The 18,526-nt window shown below is 36.4% G+C and overlaps 1 protein-coding gene across 17 annotated transcripts in view; it reads left to right on the forward strand.

Moving 5' to 3' along the window:
* The window catches only part of SUGCT (succinyl-CoA:glutarate-CoA transferase), a 903,812-nt gene that overhangs the window by 589,753 nt on the left and 295,533 nt on the right, over positions 1-18,526 (forward strand). For 9 of the 17 annotated variants that reach the window (XR_007060156.1, XM_047420840.1, XM_011515525.4 and 6 more), the window contains one exon: positions 4,025-4,102. The exons of the other annotated variants lie outside the window; for them this stretch is intronic. Coding sequence is in view for 8 of the 9 variants with exons in the window: in XM_047420840.1 (XP_047276796.1) it covers positions 4,025-4,102 (78 nt within the window). In the remaining variant the exon portion in view is untranslated. The remainder of the gene's footprint in view (positions 1-4,024; positions 4,103-18,526) is intronic. 17 annotated transcript variants of the gene reach the window in all.

The following is an 18,526-nucleotide window of genomic DNA, read 5'->3' on the forward strand; positions in this document are numbered from 1 at the left end:
TATATTTATGTCATGCATGAAAGCTAAATTTCTGTGGGAACCAACTCTATATCCTTTATTTTTTAAAAGGTCAAATTAGAAACAGATAAAACTTTAACAAACATTGCTATTTAAGGTTTGAGGAAACAAAAAGTAAATTCCTTTTAAACATCTATTCTGCTGCTGTAGAAGGGGACTTTGATGCATTTGCCAGTAGCCCATTTTTATAGCCATGTAAAAAGCTCTAGAAGTACTCAAAACAGTTGAGAGTTAGAAATGCTGGACAGGAGGAGTGCTTGCTGAGACAGGAGCTGTCGTGGGGCTCTTTTCAGATCCTGTTCCCCACTTCTCATTGAGGCCTGGCCTTGCTTTCTCTTCCCAGGACTTAACACATATGGTAGTGTTCTCAAGCGGTTATAGAATGTAGAATTTTGCTACTGAAGATGAGTTCAGGAAGCATCAGCATCACCTGTAGTCTCAGGAATGCAGAACTCCTAAGCCAATTCTCTAGAGGATTTTTATACATTGCTAGTGTGCCAAGCAGTAATATAGAGGACTCTTTATTTTGAATGAATAAATGAAAAATGCGAGACCTTCTTTCTTTAGAGTATACTTTTATGGTATGCATTATCTGAAACTATCTTCTTTGAATCCTAATACCCAAATGACACAATGCGTTTTCCGTGAACCCTTGCCCACTTTTAATCTTTTGAGTTTCTGCATGCTCATATTTCCTTTTAAAGTTTCTCCTTCTAGTTGAAACTCTACCTATTACGTAGGTGGCCAACATAACACATTGAGGGTCATAACAGACATTGAGCAGTAGGGACCTCTATTTTCTTTTTTTTTTTTTCTTTTCACTCTCTTTTAACTATTCAAATTCACTAGTACATTTGTCCCCTATGAGGAAGCTGATATGCTTCCTCCTAATGGTAATCTCTTGAAACCCTATAGTTAATTGTTTATACCTACCTTAAAATCCCGTTTCTCAGCAGAGTTAATACAAATCTGTAGTTCCCAGAATCACTGTGTTCTTGATGAAAATCCTAGACTCTTTTCATGGAGAAATCGGATTTTGCCTATTTATCTTGCCTCAAACCCTTTTATAGCCTTGATTTTTAAGGATTTTTTTTTAGACAAGGGACCCACCAGAAAGAGTAAGTGAGTAAAGAACTTTATAGAGAGGGATGGCAAAGAGCTCCTAGCGAAGTATTAGAGAATCTTGCAATCAGGAAGGCAGTCATTAGAAGATAATATAAAATGAGTGTCAAGAGTTTTGGCCCTGGCACCAGGCTGCCCCAAGTCGGGAAATGATCCATATAAAATCTCAACACGTAATAAATACTCACTTAATATTAGCAATTACAGTTAACTCTTGAACAATGCAGGGATTAGGTTCCTACGCAGGAACGGTGTCAGGACAACCACGTTGTATTACTTGGAGTCCCCAAATACTGTATTACTAGCCTACCATTGACTGGAAGCCTTACCAATAACAAACAATCACTAACATATATTTTATATATTATATGTATTATATACTGTATTCTTACTGTTAATATAAAGTAAGCTAGAGGAAAAAAATGTTATTAAGAAAATCCTAAGGAAGATAAAATATATTTACTATTCATTAAGTAGAAGTGGATTATCATAAAGGTTTTCATTTTCAGTATCTTCACATTGAATAGGCTGAGGGGGGAGCAGAAAGAAGGGGTTGGTCTTGCTGTCTCAGGGGTGGCAGAGGCGGGAGAAAACCCATGCATAAGTGGATCCGTGCAGTTCAAACCTGTGTTGTCCAAGGGTCATCTGTATTACCCAATATGTACTAACCTGCATACTTAAGACACTTAACAGTTTCTTAGGTGTTTATAAAGGCCAATATCTTATATTTCAGTGTAATCACACATGAAGAGATATTACATTCAGAGTAGGGTGAAAGGAAAGCTGAGGCGCCGCAACCGAATTGCCAGGTCTGTTTTGGGAGGGCACCGACAATGGGTTGGCTTACCGCCACCGTGAGGACACACACTGTACCTGACTGCACAGGTGCTGCTTGGAATAAGAATTTTCGTGGGAGGAACAAGTGTGATCATCAGGGAAGGGGTTAGTACCCGTAGCCAAAGGACTGTGCACTAAGACAACAAAGAATGATATATAAACAAAGCACAACATTTGCATGGCAGGAGAAGGATGAATGGGGTACTTAAGCAAAGCTCTCGAGACAGAGTAGTGTGTGATTGAAAAGGCTAAAATGACTATGTATATTGTGTTTGGAGAAATAGGTGAGGCCCCCATGGGCTGTCAAATAATGACTAATATATTAGTAGTCATGCTATCGTGTTATTATTAGTGACTCCTTTGCTCACTGTTAGCTAAGGCAGTTACTTTTTCTCTATACAAGGATTTCTTGACCTGTGAGATTTCCTTTTTTTGCCTTTCACGGTACACTTTTCAATGCTATGTACAAAGGTGTCATGATTTGTTTAGCAGGAAATCTATTATTATTGTCCCCTGGAAGTTATTCTTCAGCTTATCCAAGGTATACAAATTCACTTTTGCATTTCTAAGTCGCAGTTGTTGATTCCCTAGTCTCAGTTGATATAAAGCTGTAGCATTTTGGAAACTGTTTGCCAAGCATCTTTCTTCATCTTCAGCAGTGGAATCTAGCCCATTGGACCATTCTCCTCTCTTGTAAGCAATTTTTATTTAGTCAAGTTCCAAGGCCCTGATAGTTTTTTTATGATATACCTTCATTTATTGACAAATGGAAGACTATTCCACCTAAAACATTGTTGTGTACTTCATGTCTGATATCTGTGCTGAAGCTCAGCAAGAAATAACTATATCTCACTATACAGCCATCCAGTTCAGATTAGAACTGAGTTTTTCAAACTTTGATCTTTGATAAACAATGTACCTGTCAATTTAATGTAACTTTTTGTCTAATTCTGAATGCATAGGTCATAAAGTTGAAATGTTTAGTAACTATGTGCAGAAAGAGAATTTTGTAAACCTAGGAAAATGCTGTAGTTCTAGTGCCTATTAAGAAAGAAGTGTTAATTTCCTTTCAGTTTTTCCCTCTTAATATTGGGGATTAGTTTATTCATATAAAATTACATTATGCATTTTTACTTAATAACTTTCTCATGTTGTTAAACAACTTTGTGAACATAATTTTACTATTTCCTCACTGTTCTAGCATATATCTGTGTTATTATTTATTTATTATTCTAGTTTTAGACAGGTTCTTACCAATTAGATACTACAAGTATTCTGAGATGAGCATTTTTATGCATAAAGGTTTTTTTCTTTGTTAAAATTATCTCCTTAAAAAAGATGAAGAATATTAGGATTGTTTAGTCAAAGAGTATTTATAAAGTTCTTTGTATATATATTGACTAAACCCATTATATAAATTTATACCTTTACCTTCAAGGTAAAAATTATATGTCTCCTTTCACCCTTGAAAGTTATGTCCTTATTAAGGATATACATATTTAGGCCAGGTACAGTGGCTCATGCCTGTAATCCTAGCATTTTGGGAGGCTGAAGCGGGTGGATCAGCTGAGGTCAGGAGTTCGAGACCAGCCTGGCCAACATGGCGAAACACTGTCTCTACTAAAAATACAAAAATTAGCCGGGCATAGTGGTGGGTGCCTGTAATTCCAGCTACTTGGGAGGCTGAGGCAGGAGAATCACTTGAACTGGGAAGGCGGAGGTTGCAGTGAGTCGAGATTGCACCTTTCACTCCAGCCTGGGCAACAGAGGGAGACTCAGTCTCAAAAAAAGAAAAAATAAAAGAATATACATATTTATATGTTATAGGTAGATGGTATTTTATTGTTGTTTTAGAATAGCCTTTCTTCCATTACATGTATTTATATAGGACTAAATTGGAACTGAATGAAAGGAGGACTTTCTTCAAATACCTATCTGTGGGAAATGAAGGCTTTATGACTTGTCTGAAAAAATATATTTTTTACCTTATGTAAGTGATATAGAAGACCTGGGAATATAGCTGTCTCACTGCAGTGCTCTTCTATAGGTCCAGTCTGTGGAGTGGCTACATAAGGGAGACATCTTGATGAAGAAGACTTTATATAACAAAACAATAACCATAACGGTAATTGCAATAACAATAATCTCAGCTAAATTTGTTTAATGCTGTGTGCCAAATGCTCCTCAGTGTTTTGTAAGTCATATAATCATCTCAATATCCTTGAAAGCAGGTTAAAATTCCTATTTACAGATAATTAAACCATTTTGACAAGTAGCTGGGCTAGAATTTTAATCAGTAAAGTCTGACTCTAGAGCCTACAGTCAGACACTACACTATGATGCTATTACTTTCTCTTTTGATTGGATCCAAAATGAAATTCATTAATATTTAATTCTAGTCTGTGATACCTAATATTATTTACTCCAAGTCAAACCAAATTTATTAGTGCTTGCTGCGTGCCAAGTAGTGGATAAGTACTCCAACATTTTTGTTTGTTTGTTTTAGCCATCACATATTAACACTTGTATGTATCAGGTACTGTGCTAGAGGCTAGGGATATAAAGGTCAGTGAGCATGTCCCCTTTTCTCAGGGACTATATGTCCACAGATTATTGGAAACCAACATCATAAATTCTATAATGTGTGTAGCATTAGAAGAGGAAGCACAATAGATGTTCTGAGCTGACCAAATAAAGCTTCGCTAAAATAGTGCCATTTAAGTAGAGTCTTGCAGGACACATGTTTGCAAAGAAGATAACATTGGAGATGTGGTAGAGGTGGTGGTGAGTGGAAGCATATTAAAAATCAAGGAGATTTTTTGAAAGAGTGTGCTGTTCAGGAATCTACAAGTGTTTGATGTTGCATTTGGGTGAGATGAGATGAGAAAAGTAGTCCAGGGTGGGAATCTGAGGGCCTTTGGTCCATGCTAAATTTTGGACTTTATCTTGTAGACCAACAGTTACAATTCAGATACCATCAGATGCTAGGCAAATGAAATCAGTGAGTGAATCATACTGGGTAACCAGCAGAGAGAGTGGTGGGTACTATGGAAAGCAGGAAAACACACGCCACTGCTAAAGAGAAGAGCTGCCTCTCAGCTCATGTAGGTTGTATCCAAGGGTCTGGTTGCATCCATACCCTTTTATTTTTCATGGAAATTCATAAATCCGGGTTTGTATGTGAAATCTCCAAATTTTCAATCTTGGCAATTAAGATGGAAAATGATTATAAAACACTGTGCAAGCCAGGGAAAATATAAACGGTGCCCTTGGGCTGCTTGGCTCGGTCCTGCTAATACAGAGGGTCCAGGGAAGAACATGAAGCAGGGGAATGACGTGGTTGGATTTGAACACAGGAGAGTCCATTCAGATAGTATTTTGTTTTGTTTTTGAGACGGAGTCTTGCTGTGTTGCCCAGGCTGGAGTGCAATCGCATGATCTTGGCTCATTGCAAGCTCCGCCTCTCAGGTTCAAGTGATCCTCCTGCCTCAGCCTCCTGAGTACCTGAGATTACAGGCATGCACCACAGGCCCAGATAATTTTTGTATTTTTAGTAGAGATGGGGTTTCACCATGTTGACCAGACTGGTCTCAAACTCCTGACCTCAAGTGATCCACCTGCCTCAGCTTCCCAAAGTGTTGGGATTACAGGTGTGAGCCACCATGCCCAGTCTATTTTTATTTTTTAATGACAAATAATAATGATATATATTTCTCACATATGCTGTGATATTTTGGAATATGCATAAATTGTGTAATGGCTCAGTTGAGCTAATTAATATCTGCAATACCTCACATACTTATTTTTTTGTGGGTGAGAACACTTAAAATCTACTCTCCAGTGAGTTTCAAAATGCAATACGTTATTATTAACTATAATCACCACTTGGTACAATAGATCTCTTGAATTTATTCCTCCTAACTGAAATTTTGTGTCCTTTCACCAATATCTCTCTACCACCCTCTCCCTTGGGTCCTGGCAACCACCATTCTACTCTATATTTCTGTGAGTTCAACTTTTTTAGATCTCACATATAAGTGTAATCATGTGATACTTGTCTTTCTATGCCTGGCTTATTTTACTTAGGATAATGTCCTCCAGATTCATCCATGTTGTTGCAAATGACAGAATCACCTTCTCTTTTAAGGCTGAATAGTATTCAATTGTATACACACATACCAATGGACACCTAATATTGATTCCATATCTTGGTATTGTGAATAATGCTTCAATGAATGGACAAGTAATAGACTTGGTAAGGAATTTAACTTGACTGAAGGACAAAAGTGGCAAGTTGTTAGAAAGGGCAAAGTCAAGGAGACTTCCCAGGTGTGAGACATGGGAGACTGAGTGAATGGGAGTGCTAGTGGTTGGTAGGGAATTTGGGAGGAGCAGGTGTGAGAAAGGGTGAGAATGAGTTTTGGGTGGCCCTATTGACTTTGACAGTTTCTCAAGGGTGTTTAGGTGAAAGTATTTCAATTCATCTAATTATCTTAACGAGGCTACATGGTCGAACATAATAGTCCAGTTTTTAAAAGTGCAGAGACAGAAGTCCAGAGAAGTTAAAAGAATTTTACTCAGTCCCTCTCATCTGATTAGTGGCAGAACCAAAATTGGTAGGTGTTCCCTCTACTAGTCCACAATTATTTTAGATAAGATCAGGATCCTTTGAAATACCTGTTCCTCATCTCCTTATTTAGGTTTTGGAATATTCTTATTTATAGGAAAAAACAGCATTATCAATTATGCCTTTATACTTGAAAGAAAAACCCAAGAAAGTCAATTTCAGGAATCCTCAGAAAATAATTACATCTTAGAAATGAATTGAAAGAGTGAGGATAGCATGAATCTGCATTTACATGGTGCATACCCACCCCACCCTAGGAATCACCAACCTGCGCCTGAGTTCAGGTCATTTGCCTAAACAAATCGTTAAAGTGGAAGAAATGTAAATTTGGTGTGAAAACAGTATTTGGTTTTAAGTTTTTCCTAAGTTATTGAGAGTGGCAAAGCTAGTTCCAAAAGAGTGAAACATAGGATGAAAACAATAATATTTCTTTATGAAAATAGCTGCAATAGAATACCATCTAGTTGACTTCATCATGATTATGTGCTGCTCAAAATATTCCTTTCTCCATTATGTAGCAAGTCAGTCTCTTTTGGACCAGAAGATTGATTCCGGTCTTTGTTTTTTAAATGGAGGGGTTATTTGTTTAGATAGGGGTACATGAATTAAACAGAATTCTAGCTCCTGATAATCTATGAGGATATATCTTGGGAGCTAGGATACAGTTTGTTTTAGGGCTGCTGTAACAAATTACTACAAACCGGACTGCTTAAGACAACAGGTATTCTCTCACAGTTCTGGAGGCCAGAAATTCAAAATGAAGGTGTTGGCAGCATTGCACTCTCTATGAAGGCTTTAGGGGAGAATCTTTCCTTGCCTCTTCCAGCTTCTGAGGCTATAGGCATTCCTTGGCTTGTGGCAGCATCACTCCATTCTCTGTCTGGCTGGTGACATTGCTGCTTCCCCTTCTGTGTATCTGTGACATCTTCCCTTGCCTCTCTTATGAGAACACTTGGTGATGGCATTTGGGGCTCACTCCCTTAATCCAGGCTAATTGCACCATTTTAAAATCCTTCATTTAATCCCATCTGAAAAGACTCTTTTTCTAAATAAGGTAACATAATCCAGGAGTGGGACTTGAGATCTTTGGATGACCATTATTCAACCTGTTATAGGCAGTGTAAGGTTGGATTCAAGGACTAGGCAAAGTAAGGTGGGCATCGGACATAGGGTTCAACTTCAAGGAAAGTCTTTATTGTGAGCAAAAGCAAAATGTCCAAACCAGAGTGGCAGTGTCAAGTGTCAGGCCCAAAAGATAAAGCATGGATCTGAATAAGAAGACACACCACACAGCTGGAACTCAGAAGGCAGCACTCTCCCTGATACTTAAGCAGGGCAGAGGCAGGAACCACTTTTCTGGTTGGGTGTTGAGATGTGATAGTGTGATATCCATGTGACTATCCATGCTGAAACAGTGTGTCTGTAAGGCAGGTTGATGACACCTGATTGAAATTGTGAGCCAACACGCCTGTAATCCCAGCGCTTTGGGAGGCCAAGATGGGTGGATCACTTGAGGTCAGGAGTTCGAGACCCACCTGGCCAGCATGGTGCAACCCCAACTCTACTAAAAATACATAGTGGCGCATGTCTGTAATCCCAGCTATTTGGGAGGCTGAGGCAGGAGAATCACTTGAACCCAGGAGGCAGAGGTGAGCTGAAATTGTGCTGCTGCACTCCAGCCTGGGCGACAGAGCAAGACTTCATCTCAAACAAACAAACAAACAAAAAAGAAATTGTGAGCCAAGTCAGCTGGGAACACAGATGTGTCTGAGAGAAGCTCAGGCTTGACTCCTGACTGGACTCATGTCACTCCATTTTAGTTTCTATGTATTTCCATCTCTACCCCTCTGCCCCACACTCCAGCTAGAGTAAGCCAGAATTATATATACATGACTCAGCCCTTTCTCCCTGATAACATCTCTTGGCATATCCAAAGGGTCACTTGCCCACAAAGTTATCAGTGACCCTGCTCTACTTATCAGTATTATCTCCCTCAGGCCTGGTCACACAGGCTCCTTCCTAAAATAGTTCTCCTTAATCTCCTGGCCTAGAGCAAACATGCATCTATCTGCCTGCAACAAGCAAAGTATTTCCCCATCCACACAAATTCCCAGGAAAAGCAAACCAAAATGTAAAATGAAAACACTGAGTTTATTGAATTTTAGGACCACCACCTTAGTGTTTTTAAGTCTTAGAAACGTGTTAATTATCATAATGGTTCTGGCCTTTTTGAGCCTGAGCAAATTTTTGGCATAATGAATCAGGCACAAGGAGGATGTCATGTGCAGTGTCCGTGTCTTTCTGTAGCCACAGGACTGTCACTTGATTGTTCCCTGTGTGGTTATGGTTCTCTAGAATGGTTGACATAAAGCAAACAAATGATATTGCTTCCTCATGGCAGAGGACTAAGTAATCGGCACATTTATCAACCGCTGCTTGGCCTTGTGGCTGTTCAGATATTGTATGTGCCACGACATCGTTTCCTTTGTGGCTTCCTGATGCTGAAAACCTTTCCTGGTTAAACTTCTATCATACTATATCAAGAGTGATAATGAGTCTTAAACATATTTGGCATGTATGACTTTATTAAGAAAATTTGTTAAGGAAGCAGATGTTAATGTTTTGTTACAACCTTCATATTCTTGTGGACTTACTAAGGGAAAGCTTTGCTACATCAAATAAGGAGATGCCTTGTTGCAATTCGATCCCAAAGGAGATTTAATTTCAGTAGAGTTTACAACACATTACCCTCAAGGAGACAGAGAGAAAGGTCTCCATAAAAGATTACTTGCATCTTACTATACCTAATTTTCTCAGACAGCACTTGCACCAGCAGAAGAAATGACAAACTGCTAATGGCAATAATTTGGAATAGTCTGTGTCCCCAATGACTCTTTTTTCTTATGTCTGTGTTGCACTCAGATCAGCAATACTAGAATCTTATTATAGTGGAAAGTCGTACTGAACACTTTAGAGACAGACACAAGTGTGGCAGAAAGATCATAGGCTCTGCTGTCAGATAGACACCTTTTACCTTAACTTACATTATTACTCAAGTCATTTTACCTCCTCAGATCTGTGTCTTCATATATAAAATAGAGATAATAATGAAAAATCTGTTTCACTGTGTCTTGGCACATACAAATTGCCACCTAGATATTAGGCAAGTGTCAAGTATGGTCCTCTCACACTCACTCTGTCCTTGCTTTACATTCATGCTGGTTGGACTGTCCACCCCTGACAAGTCACACAGAAAACTCTGCCAACTCAGAGAATCCATGTGCATTTTTTTTTTGTTATGCTGTATTTTTGTCCAATTGACTATTTTTCCTCCTTACACTTTTTTGTTACTTTGGTCCCTGCAAAAAAATAGAATGGTTGGCAGACATTTAAGTGATGAGTTCTTGATCAACAAATGAAGAGTAATAAGAAAAATGTTTGCCTCAATGGCTTCTGAAGAGGATGAAGCATCACTTCATTAATAAAGTAGATAGCTTCTGCCTCTTAGACTGGACTCCCAAATTCTTGCCTAGAATCTTCAGTCTCTGGGGAAGAGAGGACTAAATCCAGTCAGAAATATAGTATATATACAACCTCCTGACCTGTTCTTAGGACTAATCAAAACTCACAGGTGTCCCACTGGGCAACTAGAAAATTCCTAAGAATGAAGGAGTTATTTGGTTCTTGCTAAGTGAAGACAGCACACACAAAATTACTCTGCTGACCACCACTCGGAATGGTTCCTTTCACAGGGCTTTGTGGACTCCTGTGCTGGAGGGGAAAGAATGCTTTCTTAACTTGAAAGTTTGTAGTTTGGTTCTGGGATAACTTAATTAAAGGCCCCACTGCCAAGAAGGATAGAATTAAAGATGTAAGTCGGGACTTCGAATATCCTGACTTTAAAGTTCATAAATCACCTTTGTATTTCACTGGATTCTGTTGTATTTCCTCTTTTATTTAATAGTTGTTATTTTTCGTATTTTCTGGACTACTTAGTCTTGGGAAAGGTTGGAACACCAAATTAAGACTTCAAATGTAGCTTAAAGAGGATACAGTGACATCTGGAGAACCTCTGTTTCTGACAATATGGGGGACTATATGACCAGAGAAATCCTGCCAGTAGAAAAATGATTAGAAAACATGCATGCAGAGAAGCAAGCACTAGAACCAGCATTTGCTAATACTCTTTAGCTTAGAACCTGAACTTTATGGGCCATAAGAAATGAGGATATTACAAGAATCCTGAAGTCCACAGTAGGTGGGAGATAGAATAGAAACTTCAAAATAAAGGTCGGACATCCAAAAGTCAGCAATGTCAGTGGGTGAACTAGGTAAAAAACAAAACAAAACAAAAAAGAAAGCAAACAAATTTTAAAACCTGTCATTGAAGACTGAAGAAAAAAACAGTAGATATTCTAACCTGTTTTGACCATGGTTCTTGAAAATCTCTCATTTTTCTGGGGCTAGGAGATGAGCTATCTACAAATCTACTGTCCTATATATAGGACAGTAATTAATTCTACTTGGCCCAAAAACCACCAAACAGAAAATTAAGTTTAATGTGGTTCTATTTCAGAGGTGCCCTTAAGCACTTAGAAAAACAGAATGCAAATCATCTCTGGATTAAGAACAACTGCACAGCAAATTAAATGGTAGATTAGATAGAAGAGAGAATTCATGATTGGATACATAGATCTGAATAAATTAATTACAACTCAACCCAGAGAGACACACACACACATAGGAAATACAAGAGAGGCAGAGACATACAGTGTGATCACATCTAATATATAGCTAAAATTTGCATTAATTTTATATATGTAATTTATCAATATATAATATATCAATATATAATATATTATAATATATCAATATATAATATATAATATATTATAATATTTCAATATATAATATATAATATATTATAATATTTATATAATCTATTATATCTTATAATACATTATATATACATTTATGTGTATATATAAATGTATATATAACTGCAGTTCCAGGGGAAGCTAGAGAAAATAGGCAGAGGCAATATTTTACCATGCTTAGGAATTTTCCAAAACTTTTGAAGACATAATTTTTCAGACTCAGGAAGTCCTAAAGACTACATGGATTCAGTAAAAATTAAATACATTAAATAAAAAGGTATTTAGGTTTAGACTGATGGTGGTTAAACTGTAGAAAACAGAAGACATAGAGATCTTTAAATCACTCAGAGGAAAAAAATACAGATTACCTACAAAGCAAAGACAATTAGAATCATGGCTGACTTCTTGAAAACAATAGTGAAACTCAGAAGACAATGGAATAATATCATCAGTATACCAACAGAAGGTTAACTGTCAGCTTAGAAATGTACAACCAATACAAATCTTTTAGAAGAAAGAAAAAAAATAAAGAAAAAAATATCTTTATTTGGAAGCAAAGTAACTTTGGGGAAAATAAAACCAACTTACTAGGAGAACTTACTATGAACAGATGAGTAAGGAAATTCTAAAGAACTATTCTACAGGAAGAGAGAATATAGCCACTAAAGGAAAGCCTAAGATAAAAAAATGGGGATCAAAAATTAGCATAAGCATACAGTAAGCTAAAAATCATTGATTTTGAAAAACGGTATTGATACTAATGATTTCCAGATTAAAAAAATAGAAAACCAAAATGCTGAACCCAATTGCAGGTAACTGTGGTTCTCAAACTATGTACTGAGGCACTCATGACATCCTAGTGAATGCGCAGGGGCACTGCAGGATGTTTATATTTTCTAGGGAAACAGGGCAATGTATATTGGACACAGCACAGAGTGTCCTCAAGTTCACAGCTTCGACATTGAATCACACTACATTCCTTTGATAAACACATTTGATCAAACTTGGTTTTTGGATGGATGTTGCTATGAAAAAAATGCAAGTACCAAGAGAAAATCAATATAAAACAAGAAATATGGATGGAGATATCTGATTCAATTCCAAGATTTAAGAAGTTTTACTGTGCCTAACAGATGTACATATACTGTTAGAAAGTAATAGTGGCTAAGAATCAAATAAAGATTTTTTTTCTTTTATTATAATTTATGTCTATTATTTTTTCAAATGACCACTCAGTTATTAGGATATGAATACATATTGTTTTTACTTAATTAATAAACAAAACAATACTACTTAATACACAAAACAGTATTCCTTTTTGCCTAAGGGCATTATGAAAAATTTACAGAGACAGAAAAAATGTGGGGAACCAAGAAAGTTTGAAAACATCTGGCATATAAATTGGTAGGGGGATAACTGGATCCTGGCATATAATTGATACGGGGATAACTGGTATTGATTACATTTTTATTTTGTTAAGTTAAATATGCATGTTAAGACTTCTGGAGGAAAAAAAATTTCGTCTTGATATAAAAATTAGCCAGGGGTGGTGGCGGGCGCCTGTAATCCCAGCTACTTGGGAGGCTGAGGCAGGAGAATCGCTATAACCCAGGAGGTGGAGGTTGCAGTGAGCCAAGATGGTGCCACTGCACTCTGGCCTGGGCAACAAGAGTAAAACTCCGTCTCAAAAAAAACAAAAAAAAAGGCCGGGCGCAGAGGCTCATGCCTATAATCGCGCAGATCACGAGGTCAGGAGATCAAGACCATCCTGGCCAACATGGTAAAACCCCGTTTCTACTAAAAATACAAAAAGCTGGGTGTGGTGGTGTGCACCTGTAATCCCAGCTACTCAGGAGGCTGAGGCAGGAGAATCGCTTGAACTAGGGAGGCAGAGGTTGCAGTGAGCCAAGATCACAGCACTGCACTCCAGCCTGGGTGAGAGAGCGAGACTCCATCTTAAAAAAAAAAAAAAAAAAAAAAAGATTATCCTTTTGATAGAGTATATATCTTCAAACTAGTAAATGTGAGGAAACAATCTCAATCAATCTCAAACACAGCAAGATGGGAATTTTTTTATAGGGGGCCAAAAATAGGCACTAAGTAAGATTCTAAGATGAATTAAAACATGTCAATAATGTCAATTCATGTAAATGCAGTAAACTTTTCAGTTAAAAGGCAAAGATAGAATAAATCCTGCTATTTTCTATTTTCAAGAGATACACATAAAACTAAAAACTTAGAAAGGTTGCATATATATAGGTTAAAAATGATGTTTGAAGAACATACAAACCAAAATGAAGCCAGTGTAGCTTTAGTAATGTTAGATGCTACCGACTTTAAAACAAAATGCATTACTGTTCAAGTCACCTCATGTCAATAAAAATTTGAATTCACCTGAAACAGATAATTATTCTAAAATTGTACAAGTAACAAACAATTTTAAGACAATACATTTGATCACTTACTGCAGTTGTAAGTGATCAGATTAATGGAGAAAAATTATATGATCCTCCCAGTAGATGGATTAAAAGCCATTTGCTGTAAGTAAACATCTATAATAAAATTTCTCATCAAACTAGGAATAGATTCTATAACTTGATAAAGTATGCCATTATTCCTTGTCACAAACATACTCAGTGATGAGGCATTAAGTGCATTTCCTTTAAAATTAGGAACAAGATAAAAATGTTTTCTACTAAAACTCTATTCATCAATATATTTCTAGCTGAGAAAATAAAATTGAGTCCCCTCTCACATTATACCCACAGGAGACCATAATTAAAAAAAAGCTTTTTGTTTTGAGAGAATTATAGATTAACATGCAGTGATAAGAAATAATACAGAGAGATCCCATGTAGCCCTGTTCCCCAATGGTAACTTCTTGCAAAACTATACCACAATATCACATTGAGGGCATTGACATTGATATAGTCAAGATAGAGAAGAGTTCCATCACCACGAAAATCTCTCCTGCTGCCCTTTTATAGCCACATGCACCTCCCTTCCCTCCACTCCCATTTCTCCTCTAACTTCTGGAGACCCCCAATCTGTTCTCTGCTTCTAGAATGTTGTCATTTCAAGAATGCTATGTTCAATGAAATCATATACTATGTAATCTTTTGGATTGGTGTTTTTCACTCAGCACAATTCCCTTAAGATTGACGCAGGTTGTTGTGTGAATCAATAGTTTGTTCCTTTTCATTGCTAAGGAGTATTCCATAATATGGATGTACCATAGTTTTTCCTGTTTATTTTCTTATTTAAATATTTTTCCTGTTTATTTTCCTAAATTTTATAGTTACCATTTTCCATTTAAATCTATGATCCGTTTTGAATTAATTTTTTACAATGTGAGCTTTATGTTGAGTTTCTTTTTTCCCCCCAGCTCCAGTACACATGTTTCAGTGCCATTTGTCAAAAAGGCTGTATTACTTCCTCTATTGCATTTGTACCTTTGTCAAAAATTATTTGGACATATTTGTGTGGATCTATTTCTGAGTTCTCTGTTGTTCTATTGATTTATGTGTCTGTCTCTCTGCCAATATGATATTCTCCTAGTACCTGCTTGGTGTTTAGCAGTTATATAGTATATCTTAATATCAGATAGAGTAATTATCTCTTTATTATTTTTATGATTGTGTAAGCCATTCTGAGGCTGTTATCTTTCCATATAAATTTTAAAATGAACTTTTTAAAAAGTTTACAAAAAAGCTTTCCTGGGACTTTGGTAAGAATTGCATTAAACTTATACATTTTGGGAGAATTGGGATCTTTACTATGTTGAATCATCCAGTCCATGAACATAGTATGCTTCTCCACTTGTTTAGGTCTTGATTGATTTCTTTCATCAACATTTTATAATTTCCAGCATACACAGTCTATACATTTTTTTGTTGTTTATATCTAAGTATTTCATTTTATTTTTAGTGACTATTAATGGTGTTGTTTTTAATTTTGGTTTGCACATGTTTATTGTCGGTATACAAAAATATGATTGATCTCTGTACATTGGTCTTGTATCCTAAGACCTTGAAGAAGTCATTTATTAGTCCTAAGAGTATTTTTGTATATTTTCTTGACAATGTGGACAATTGTGTTATCTGTATGATTTCTTCCTTTTTAAATTTTTCTTTTAATTTTTTATATTTGTTCCTTTTATTTTTATTTTATTTATTTTTCCAATCTGTGTGCCTTTTATGTTTTTCTTTTCTTGATTATTGCAGTGTCTAGAACTTCTAGTAATAAGTCAAATAAGAGTGGTGGGAGCAGACATCCTTGCCTCATTTTATTTTATTTTTATTTTATTTTTAATTTTTATTATTTTATTTTTATTATTATTTTTTTCCTTGCCTCATTTTCAATCTTAGAGGAAAAGCATTCAGTATTTCACCATTAAGTATGATGTTATCTTTAGATTTTTTGTAGGTGCTCTTTAAAAAGTTGAGATTATTCCCTTCAATCCCTAACTTGTGACCTTTTATTATGAATAAATGCATCAAGGTTTAAACATTTTATAAGAAAATTTAGGATAATATCTTTAACACTTAAGAATAGGAAATAATTTTTAAAATATGTCATAAAAAGCGAAGAACAAAAGGAAAATTTCAGTAAGTTTGAAAATGCTGAAATTAAGAACTTTTGGTCATCAAAACATAATACAAAATAAATGAGAAATAAAGCCATAATTTCAATTCCAGTATTTTCATGTACCAATGAAGAATTCATATCCAGAATATGTAAAAAACTCATACATGATAGCATCCTGGCATGGTGGCTCACACCTGTAATCCCAGCACTTTGGGAGATGAGGCAGGCAGATCACTTGAGGCCAGGAGTTCAAGACTGTCAGATAACATGGAGAAACCCTGTCTCTACTAAAAATACAAATAATTAGCCGAGTGTGGTGGCACAGGCCTGTAATCCCAGCTAGTCAGGAGGCTGAGGCACGAGAATTGCCTGAACCCAGGAGGGTTCAGTGAGCCGAGATCACGCCACTGCACTCCAGCCTGGGTGATAAAGTGAGACTCTGTCTCAAAAAAAAAAAGAAAGAAAAATAAAAATATAATTAAGCCAGTAGAAAAGCTTCTTGAATAAGCATTTCATTTAAGAGGAAATGCAAATTACTATTAAGCAGGGAAAATATACTCAACCTGATTAGTAATTAAGGAAATGCAAGTTAAAGCTTTAATAAGATACCATTTCACAGTGATCAGATTGGCAAAACCTAAAAACTCTGATAATATTAAGTTTTGCTGAGATATAAAGCAACTGGTGGGAGTGATTGGTAAGTGATTAAGGAAAATTATTTGTCATTACCCAACAAGTGAAGATATATTTAACACTATGCCATAGCAAATCTAGCTCTAGGTTTATACCCTAGAAAAATTGTTGCATGAAGAGATGGGTTAATGGCAGCATTGTTTGCCATGGTAAAATAACTGGAAGCTACCTAAAAGCAGAGTCAGTTAAATTATGGAGTATTTATACAATGGCATACTTCATATTAATGGCCATGATTAGCCTATGGCCTCATGCCTCAGAATGGGTGAATCTCAGAAACAATGTTATGAGAAAAAGCAAGTCAGAGAAGCATATGCTTGATTTCATTGAATTAAATGTTATAAATGGGTGAAATCCAGAACTAAATATTTGGAGTATATACACACTGATACAAGTAGAAAAAAAGAAAGGAAAAGATTAACAAAATTCAGGAGAATTATATTTGGGGATAGAAGAGGGAGGGACTGGGTACACCTGGGACTTTAAACATTTTGGTAGTTCTGTTTCTCAGGCTGGGTGTTTGGTGCATGGGTGTTCATTTTATTAGTCTACATTAAGCTATATATACGTGTGTGTATATTATGTACATTATATGTATACACACTATATATATGCACACACATTATATATGTGTTTGTGTAAATTATGTGTGTGTGTATATTGCATGACCAATTTTCATAGTTTTTTTAAATTAGAGAAAATAGGAAAAAGGCTATGTCAGGTGCATTCACAGCAGAATGAAATTTAGTAACAGTGAATTGTTTCAAAGAAGTAAGATAACAAAAAAAGTCAGCTTTTACATGTGATCTTCATTATCTAAGTCAGCTGTCCCCAATCTTTTTGGCACCAGGGCCAGTTTTGTAGAAGACAGTTTTTCCATGGACGGGGATGGGGGATGGTTTCAGGATGATTCAAGGGTATTACATTTATCATTAGATTCTCATAAACAGCGTCCAACCGAGATCCCTCACATGTGCAGTTCACAATAGGCTTCCCGCTCCTATGAGAATCTAATGCTGCCGCTCATCTGACAGGAGGCGGAGCTCAAGCTGTAATGCTCCTTGCCCACTGCTCACCTCCTGCTGTTCAGGTCACTTCCTAACAGGCCAAGGACCGGTACTGGTTTGTGGACCCCCATACCATGGACCATGGTACCGGTTTGCGGACCCCTGATGTAAGTAAAGTTAGGAAATTTCATGTCAATTTGTTGTCAGGAATTTATGTTATTTTTGCATTTTTTGAGGGCACAGTTTTCAGAAATAGTTGAATTAACTTTTTAATATATTCACTGTAAGTTTTGCCTTCAGTTATGTAACCTTTCAAATATTATTCCAAGGTTGTTTTCCTATTATGCTAAAGGAATGACTAAATTGCTAAAATGGGAAATAAAATAAAGAATATTACTCCAGTGTTTTTTGCTTAGTAAGATATTGTGTGTTTTAAAAATGGTTTTCTGAGTATTCTTAATGAAGAAGAACTCTGTAATTGTTTTCTTCAAGTTTAGTAGATTAATTTCACATGTATAAATGTGCATGCCCATGTTTTTTGGCTTTCCTTTATCGATAATGACCATTGTCCATGCAGAGCTTCTCGGCATGGCCTCTGGAGTGTCTTAAAATATGTACAGTGTATATGGCAGATTCAAGATCAGCTGGAAGCTGCTTTAGAAAACTGAAGAAATTGCAAGGCAACACTAGAACTTGATATCTAAGTTCCTAAAAATGACTGTATTTTGGAAATTCAGTAAAACAGTTTTGTGTCTAGA

Source organism: Homo sapiens, chromosome 7, assembly GCF_000001405.40.
Source record: "Homo sapiens chromosome 7, GRCh38.p14 Primary Assembly".
Lineage (NCBI taxonomy): Eukaryota > Metazoa > Chordata > Mammalia > Primates > Hominidae > Homo > Homo sapiens.